Source organism: Homo sapiens, chromosome 14, assembly GCF_000001405.40.
Source record: "Homo sapiens chromosome 14, GRCh38.p14 Primary Assembly".
Lineage (NCBI taxonomy): Eukaryota > Metazoa > Chordata > Mammalia > Primates > Hominidae > Homo > Homo sapiens.
The window spans coordinates 22882731-22891271 of NC_000014.9; the positions used below are offsets into that span (position 1 = coordinate 22882731).

At 52.8% G+C, this 8541-nt stretch overlaps 1 protein-coding gene across 8 annotated transcripts, besides 5 other annotated features; it reads left to right on the top strand.

Annotated features, from left to right (window-relative positions):
• Positions 205 to 743: an enhancer, noted in NCBI's record as "H3K4me1 hESC enhancer chr14:23352144-23352682 (GRCh37/hg19 assembly coordinates)". NCBI's record gives its function as "activates a minimal SCP1, AML or CMV promoter by ChIP-STARR-seq in primed H9 embryonic stem cells {active_cell/tissue: H9 hESC(primed)}" and the evidence as "EXISTENCE:reporter gene assay evidence [ECO:0000049][PMID:30033119]".
• Positions 492 to 4948, top strand: REM2 (RRAD and GEM like GTPase 2). Of its 8 annotated transcripts, none has more exons than XM_005267383.4 (5): positions 492 to 660; positions 1944 to 2285; positions 2533 to 2609; positions 3294 to 3501; positions 3884 to 4948. In XM_005267383.4, exons 1-5 carry the CDS (start codon positions 558 to 560, stop codon positions 4177 to 4179), a joined length of 1026 nt encoding a protein of 341 aa, XP_005267440.1. In that variant the 5' UTR covers positions 492 to 557; the 3' UTR covers positions 4180 to 4948. The 8 variants fall into 8 exon arrangements, with proteins under 8 accessions (XP_005267440.1, NP_775798.2, XP_047287001.1 ...); NM_173527.3 differs by having other exon boundaries at positions 2536 to 2609; XM_047431045.1 differs by lacking the exon at positions 2533 to 2609.
• Positions 744 to 1281: an enhancer, noted in NCBI's record as "H3K4me1 hESC enhancer chr14:23352683-23353220 (GRCh37/hg19 assembly coordinates)". NCBI's record gives its function as "activates a minimal SCP1, AML or CMV promoter by ChIP-STARR-seq in primed H9 embryonic stem cells {active_cell/tissue: H9 hESC(primed)}" and the evidence as "EXISTENCE:reporter gene assay evidence [ECO:0000049][PMID:30033119]".
• Positions 3738 to 3807: a silencer, noted in NCBI's record as "silent region_5593". NCBI's record gives its function as "represses an Ori minimal core promoter by ATAC-STARR-seq in GM12878 lymphoblastoid cells {active_cell/tissue: GM12878}" and the evidence as "EXISTENCE:reporter gene assay evidence [ECO:0000049][PMID:35858748]".
• Positions 4048 to 4377: a silencer, noted in NCBI's record as "silent region_5594". NCBI's record gives its function as "represses an Ori minimal core promoter by ATAC-STARR-seq in GM12878 lymphoblastoid cells {active_cell/tissue: GM12878}" and the evidence as "EXISTENCE:reporter gene assay evidence [ECO:0000049][PMID:35858748]".
• Positions 5608 to 5707: an enhancer, noted in NCBI's record as "active region_8149". NCBI's record gives its function as "activates an Ori minimal core promoter by ATAC-STARR-seq in GM12878 lymphoblastoid cells {active_cell/tissue: GM12878}" and the evidence as "EXISTENCE:reporter gene assay evidence [ECO:0000049][PMID:35858748]".

Here is an 8541-nt window from a genome sequence, read left to right on the forward strand (position 1 = left end):
GTCCCCACACCTCTTTTGGCCTGCATCTCTTTGTCTTTCAGACCAGCTTTTAATCTTTCTGCCTCTTGCCCCTGTGCAGCCACTGAGCACGCTCTCTGGGCTAGACACTGGGCTAGGGGTCTGGAAATACAAAGACAAATGATGCGTAGTCCTGGCTGCTGGAGAAAGACCTTCACCTCCCCAGGTCCCTGCCTTCTGTCACCCTGAGCTCCCTTACCCACTGACACCCCCTGCAACCCTTGTCTGTTCTGCCCCTTGACTGTTCTGTCATAACTCAACCAAGCTCTGCAGTGTGTGTGCTCCCAGAGAGAAGCGACACAAAGAAAAGGGAGGGGGGGCAGAAAGGAGGGAATCCCGCTGACATCACTGCTCATTAGCATGTGTGACCTCATCAGGGGGTGGGACAATTTCCCCAGGTGTCTAGGGGGGAGGGCATGTGTGTGTGTCGGGGGGGGGGGTGGTATTTAAAGGGAAAAGCTGACAGTGCTGCTGAGTGAGGGAGAGGGTGCTGCGAGCTGCTGGGCTGCACACGCACACGCACACGCACACGCACACTGATGCACACGGACCTGGACACAGACATGGACATGGACACAGAAACCACAGCACTCTGCCCCTCTGGCAGCCGCCGGGCCTCCCCTCCAGGGACGCCCACACCAGGTGAGGGCTAACCTGGGCAGGTTCCGGCTGAAACCATGGGGGTGGGAGCTGAAGCTTTGGTGGGGAGGTCAGAACTAGGGGTTGAGGGAGCTTGAGCTCAGTCAGCAAGAGGAGAAGAGCAATTGAGAAAGTGGAGAAGACCCCTGCTCACACAAGGGATTGGGGCTGGGCTAGGGTGGAGGGGAAGAGCTGCCTAAATGCCCCCTCCCCCAGCACTCCCAGGGCTTTGCTTGAGAAACTGGTACATGGCCCCTAGCTCAGCCTCATTCCCGAGGCTGGAACAGGCAAGAAGGAAGGGGAGAGGAAAGGGGCAGCCCACAAGCCTGGGAATCACAGGCAGGGGCTACCCCGGGGAACTATTGTAAGGGTTCTTCTGGCTGCTGGAGGCCCTGGCTGCTGGCCAAGTATTGATCCTGGGCTATTTCCAGCCTCCCTCTAGCCCCCTTTGTTGTGTCTGTTGTTCCTCCTCCAGTTACCCTGACCCACGCATTGTCACTCTCCCTTTCGCTCACACACACACACACACACACACACTATCTCTCTCTCTCTACTTCTACTGCTCTATGAACACAATATTCTCTCCCACTCACAGGGACAGACAGGGATGCAGGATTCTCACATCCAACCACGCAATGAGGGATGCTCACCTACAGGGCCACGGGAAGCAGCAGCCCCTCTCTCTCTCTCACACACACACACAGAGAACCCACAGAGACCCAGCACGCACATCATCTCAAAAAGCAAAGGCCCTTTCCTAGGAAGAAGCTCACTACAAAGTTTTTTACTCTGCTATACCTACTCCCCAGACACTGGGCAGCAGTTTCAGCTTGTCATCCTCTCTGCTCCTCAGTTTGGGGATTACCAGTGCTGGAAACAGGAGGAGGAAGGGCCTCTTGATGGAAAAAGAGGCAGCTTCCCCAAACCTCCCCCAACTCCACCGTACAGGGCCAGAGGCCTAGTCTGGGGGTTTGCCTGTGTATCAGTGTAAAGTGTGAGTGGGTATGTGAGCCTGCATTCAGGTCCCTTCCCTGCATGGGGCACGTTTTGAATAGGTTGGGGTTGGGACCGCATTGGAGAAGCTATCATGTCAACTCCAGTTCAGGCTTCTGGAGACTTTAGTGTAAGAGGTCAGGCCAGACATTCTCAGTTCCTTCTGGGTAATGGTCATCAAGTGGGTGTAGCTGGGCCTCTGATACTGGAACAGCCTGGATTGAGCCTTCTGCATATGGTTGAGCATATCCCACTCATAGCTTCCTTTTCTTTGCCCTCCCATTTTATTTTAGAAGCAGATGCCACGCTACTAAAGAAGTCAGAGAAACTGTTGGCAGAGTTGGACCGGAGCGGGTTACCCTCTGCCCCTGGGGCCCCCAGACGAAGAGGCAGTATGCCTGTCCCCTACAAGCACCAGCTCCGGCGGGCCCAGGCTGTAGATGAACTTGACTGGCCACCTCAGGCCTCATCCTCTGGCTCGTCTGACTCCTTGGGCTCAGGGGAGGCAGCCCCTGCTCAAAAGGATGGCATCTTCAAGGTCATGCTAGTGGGGGAGAGCGGCGTGGGCAAGAGCACCCTAGCAGGCACTTTTGGTGGTCTCCAGGGAGACAGTGCTCACGAACCGGAGAACCCAGGTATTTGGGGAAGCCCTCCAGGGGTTGAGGGGGCTCTGGGGCCCTGGTCAGGGAAGGAAGTGCTCGTGACCTGAGCAGCCCCTGAAGGACAGAGCTTAACAGAAGCTTTTCCAATGCTTTCTGTGGCAGCCTCCCTGAAGAGGGGCAGGGTTCCCTGGTGCTGAGATCTGAGGTGTCCCTGGTTACCAGGTCTCACAAATGTTGGGAAACCTCCTAATGGACTTTATACCCTCTCCCTATTTCCCAGCAGAGGATACCTATGAGAGACGCATCATGGTGGATAAGGAGGAAGTGACTCTAGTCGTTTATGACATCTGGGAACAGGTGAGAACTAAGATGTGGCTGCAGGCAGGTGATGAAGCTGGGAGAACTGGGGAAGGGCAAAGTCTGGCTGAAGGCTGGTGGGACTGCTGGTCCTGGTTTCCACATGTACTGGAACCTGACCTTTCATTCATATCACCTCAGAAAGCAAAGACCCACACTACAGCCTGTGGCTGTTAAGACCCACAGTCTTTCCAGGATCTTCTGACTCAGAGCAAACTTAGGATGGGAATTTGACAAACCCTGCAGCTCCAAGCTAGGCTGGACACCCTGAAATTGACTCCATCCATAAATTTTTCAGCCTGAAGGAATCTGATGTGACAAGACAAGAGCTCAGGGATCTGGAATATCAGGGAAGGGGGAAAAAAGTGAGGACTTCTGAATATTTGGACATAAAGGTTACTATGTAGAAATAAGAGGCCAAATTACAGACGTGTGAATAATATTCATTTTTGAATCAAGAGCTTAAGAAATTAGGATGGCTACCCTAGTCTAGGATCCTCATATTACTAATTTCTTCCGCCTCCACAAACACTCTGGGTAGGGAGATTCTGCCATTAACTAGCTCTGCTGTCCTAAGCAGGTGGCTTCTTTCTGCCTCACAGCCCTGTTCCTCCTCTTTGAGGTGTAGGTGCTGGACAGGATCTCCTATGCCTCCAGCCCTAACGTTCCTCTGCCTGTCTGCAGGGGGATGCAGGAGGGTGGCTGCGGGACCACTGCCTTCAGACCGGGGACGCCTTTCTCATCGTCTTCTCAGTCACCGACCGACGGAGTTTCTCCAAAGTTCCAGAGACCCTACTTCGGCTCCGGGCTGGGAGGCCGCACCACGACCTACCCGTTATCCTCGTTGGAAACAAGAGCGACTTGGCCCGCTCCCGGGAGGTATCACTGGAGGGTGTGTATCCTGAACAGATTCCATACTTGCGATCTCAGGGGAATGCTCTCCCTTCCAAGTCACCTCTTCTCCCTAAGGCCTTTTTACCATCGCGGACGCACTCACTTGCAATCAGACCCAGGCTAGGGGGACACTCCCAATGCCCCACTCGAGGATCCTGAGAATCCCTTCTTGTCACTTCCCCTCACCTCTCTCCTAGGCCTCCTTCTCCCTCTCCTTCGCACCTCCACAGACCCACCATATGAGCTCAGCCATGTTCTCTCGGTTGCAAGATTCACTAGTACCAATCCCTTGCCACCGCACGCCCAGGCCCTCCCTAGACCCACCCTCGCCCCGGGTCCCGTACAGCCCAGCGGGCGCCTGAGCCGGTGCCTTCCTGCAGAGGGCCGCCACCTGGCCGGGACGCTGAGCTGCAAGCACATCGAGACGTCGGCCGCACTGCACCACAACACGAGGGAGCTCTTCGAGGGCGCGGTGCGCCAGATCCGGCTGCGGCGGGGCCGAAACCACGCCGGAGGCCAGAGGCCCGATCCGGGCAGCCCCGAGGGCCCTGCGCCACCTGCACGCCGCGAGAGCCTCACCAAGAAAGCCAAGAGGTTCCTCGCCAACCTGGTGCCGCGCAACGCCAAGTTCTTCAAGCAGCGCTCCAGGTCGTGTCACGACCTCTCGGTGCTCTGAGCCGCGGTCGCCATGGCCACTGCGGTCGCCATGGTCACCGCGCCCTCCGCTCGCCCCCCCTCGCCCCGCCCCGCCCCCGTCCGGCTTCCTTGGTGGAGGCCGTCTAGGAAACCAAAAACTCCCAGGATGCCCCGGTGTGACCGCCGGGGGCGGCCCGGGGCCGCTCGGCGGCACCTCCACACCCGCCCCAACGCGTTCTCTGGAGCTTTGGGCCTCAGGGCGCCTAGAAGGCGAGGACGCAGACCTGAAGGCGGCCGGTGAGCGGGGCGGGTTCTGCTGGGTCGGGAAGAAAAATAATTCTGCAAGGTATTTTGTTTTTTATTAATTCGCGCTTGGCCACCTCATCTGTAAAGAGATTCTAAAAGCAAGATCTGGAAAAGTGCTTCGTAGACTCCTTGACGGAGTTTGCCTCCTTTGTACGCTGCGTGAACATGCCTCACCTTTAAGAGAGTCTTAAAGGTAAAGACACGAAAACACTTCCTCCAGGGACCTTCCCGAAAACGTTCTGGCTCTCATCTGGTGCGGCATGTGTCCACTTTGCCTTTAAGGAGTTCTTAAAGGCAAGGGCCTGGAAGTGCTGTTCCTGAGATGGATTCTCTTGACTTACCAGTCCACCACGGCACTTCCCCTTTAAGGTTATTAAAGGTAAGGGGTGGACAGACTTTCTGCATTCAGATAATGAGCAGTGGCAACCCCTTTTGGCCAGGGCCAGGGGGGCACCAGCAAGGGGCCACCCTTTCCCTTTTCAATAAATAATTTTTGTACTGCCTCTGTTCACTTTTGACTCTGTTCTTGGAGTCTTTGGGGAAGGAATGGGTGTTGATGGAAACTGCTGTTACCCACCAGAAAACTCAGGCCCAGAGGAGCAAGGAACCTAACTCTCTAAGGAGGCTCTGGAACTGACTTGGCCTGGGGTAGTCCATGTCATAGGGCCACAGGCCCTTACAGATAATCAGGTCCACTTCTTGCGTTTGCCGATGAGAAAACAGGCTTGGAGAGGAACAGGGACCTCCTAGAAGTCATTTGTAAATTAGTGACACAGTGGGACCAAATCTCTAGATTCTGAGCCTCATCTCCTTACCCCCACTCTATCCTGCAGGGAACAGGCTAGAGGCTACACTTAGCTCCCAGCGGTACTCAGCTTTGACTTGGGCTGGTTCAAAGTGGGGCCCATATCCACCAGGGAAGCCCATCAGCTGTGGCGTGATGGGGGTCTGTCTGTGCCTCCTCTGGCAGGGCTCCACAGCCCCAGCTGTCACCTGCAAAGCCCGTGTGAGTACTGAAACTGTCACTGCCTCCCCTGGGGACGCCCACGCCTGCTGCTGCCTGAGCCATGAGTTTGAACAAAGGGAGCAGAGGCAGCAGCTCCCCTCACCACCCCTAGACATACAATACAGCTACCTGAGCACCTGAGGGCCAGCCTCCATTCTACCCCACACAGCCTCCCAGAACTTGATGGAAAGAGGGTTGCAATGCTTCCTGAGTCCTTGTAGCTGGGGAGGAGCCAAGGGGACCATCCCAGCATGGGTACTTATAATAAGATGAATAATGGCCCTATCCTTAGGACTTTATACACTTTATCTGTTAATTCCTTAAAGACTATATAAGGTCCAGCCTGGGAAACATAGTGAGAGCCAGTTTCTACAAAAAAAAATATAAAAATTGGCCAGGCATGTGGCTCACACCTGTAATCCCAGCACTTTGGGAGGCTGAGGCAGGAGGATCATTTCAGTTCAGAAGTTTGAAACCAGCCTGGGCAACATGGCAAAACCCTGTCTTTACAAAAAATTAGCTGGGTGTGGTGTCATTCAGATAGTCCCAGCTACTTGAGAGGCTGAGCTGGGAGGAACCCTTGAGCCAGGAAGTTAAGGCTGCAGTGAGCTGTGATTGTACCACTGCACTGCAGCACGGGCAACAGAGCAAGACCCTGTCAAAAAAAAAAAAAAAAAAAAAAAAAAAAAAAGCAGTGCACCTGTAGTCCTAGCTACTCAGGAAGTGGGAGGATTACTTGAGCCCAGGAGTTCAAGGCTGAAGTGAGCTGCAATCACTGCCTTCCAGCCTGGGTGATAGAACGAGAACTTGTCTCTTTAAAAAAAAAAAAAAAAGGGCCGGGCGCCATGGCTCACACCTGTAATCCCAGCACTTTGGGAGGCCAAGGTGGGTGGATCACAAGGTCAGGAGTTCGAGACCAAGCTGGCCAATATGGTGAAACCCCATCTCTACTAAAAAGTGCAAAAATTAGCTGGGCGTGGTGGCAGGCGCCTGTAATCCCAGCTACTAGGGAGGCTGAGGCAGGAAAATAGCTTGAACCCAGAAGGCAGAGGTTGCAGTGAGCTGAGAACGTGCCACTGCACTCCAGCCTGGGCGACAGAGTGAGACTCCATCTCAAAAAACAAACAAGCAAAAAAAAAAAACCTATATAAGGTGTTACTACCTGTTTAACAGTAGAAGAAACAGAGTGTAAGTAACTTGCCTGAGGTTACCCGGTAAGCAGTAGAGTTGGGATTTCATGTCTGCTTGATACTTTTTTTTTTTTTTTGAGATGGAGTCTTGCTCTTGTCACGCAGGCTGGAGTGCAATGGTGCGATCTCCACTCACTGCAACCTCCACCCCCCGGGTTCAAGTGATTCTTCTGCCTCAGCCTCCCGAGTAGCTGGGATTACAGGCACCCACCACCACGCCCAGCTAATTTTTTGTATTTTTAGTAGAGATGGAGTTTCACCATGTTGACCAGACTGGTCTTGAACTGCTGACTTCAGGTGATCCACCCACCTCAGCCTTCCAAAGTGCTGGGATTATAGGCGTGAGCCACCGCGCCCAGCTCTGCTTGATACTTAATGATGATTTTATCCAGCTTTGCATCTGAGGCTCCCTTTCCAATAAGGATGGGAGGAAGAGAAAGAGGGGACAGCAGTCAAGATGCGGGGACACAATGGGCAGGGCCATGTGCAGTGGCTGTGGTGAAAGGTCCAGAGAAATTACATGGCTGTAGTGGAGTAAGCAAGTTCTAAATTCTGAAGACCATGAACAGAGGCAGCTCAAATTTTAAAACACAGGAAAACACACTGGGCCCATTAAGGGACCAGATGGCTGTACAGTTGGGTTGAAACCTCAGGGACATGAAGAGGAGGGGTAAGAGATGAGCATGGAAAAGAAGGTTTGGAGTCCCACTGTAAAGGACCTTAAATGCCAGGAAAAAGAGTTTGTGCCCAACTCTGTAGGCAGGGAGAGTCACTGCAGGTATCTGAATGTGGAAGTCATGATTAGGATGGTCTTTTGGGAAGAGGAGGCTGGGAGAGGTGTGTATGGATTGGAGCTGCAGAGGCAAGTACTGAGGAGCTGAGTTTAGGGACCAGTTAATAGTGATACATACAGAGGATAATGAAAGGCCATCCTGAGGGGGGTGGCAGTGGGAAAGGAAGGAGGCATGGGTTTGAGCATCAGAATCAATGGGACTTGGCAACTTAGTGGATGAGTATAAAGAGAGGAAAAAGTTGTAGGTGGTGAGAGGATGGTGCAGAACTTGGAGTAAAGGGGCAGAGGAGGTAGTGAGAGTAAGGAGCTCCATTTTGGAGACACTGAATTTGAGATGCTAGAAGAACATCTATATAGAGTTTCAGCAGCTCTCTAGAGTTGAATCTGAATCTGAAATTCAGAACAAGTTGGGACAAGAGAAACAGATTTGAGAATAATTACCATAAAGATAGTAGTAGAAGAGCAAGGAGAAAAGGTGACCTGTGCAGTCACATAGGGCCCTAAGCTTAGTTTAATGTTCTGCTGTTATGTTCTTAAAATTCTTCGAACAAGGAGCCCTGTATTTTCATTTTGCAAGGGGATCCACAATTATACTAAGGGAGAAGGTGCAGTACAGGCTGGGATCCTTACCCCAGACTACTGATGGAGTCTGCGTCTTGTGAAATGGTACATACAATCTGATGTATTTGTGTAGTCATACCTGTGTCTGAGAATAGGGTTCATGAATTTCATCAGATTCACAAAAGGGTTTGTTACAGGCCAGGCACAGGATGGCTCATGCCTGTAATCCCAGCACTTTGAGAGGCCGAGGCGGGTAGATCACCTGAGGTCAGGAGTTCGAGACCAGCCTGGCCAACATGACGAAACCCCATCTCTACTAAAAATACAAAAATTAGCTGGGCATGGTGGCACATGCCTGTAATCCCAGCTACTTGGGAGGCTGAGGCAGGAGAATTGTTTGAACCCAGGAGGTGGAGGTTGCAGTGAGCCGAGATCGTGCCACTGTACTCCAGCCTGGGCAACAGAGTGAGATTCTGTCAAAAAAAAAAAAAAAAAAAAAAAAGATGGTACTGGCTGCTTCTGGAAAGGGGAACTGGGTGAGTAGAA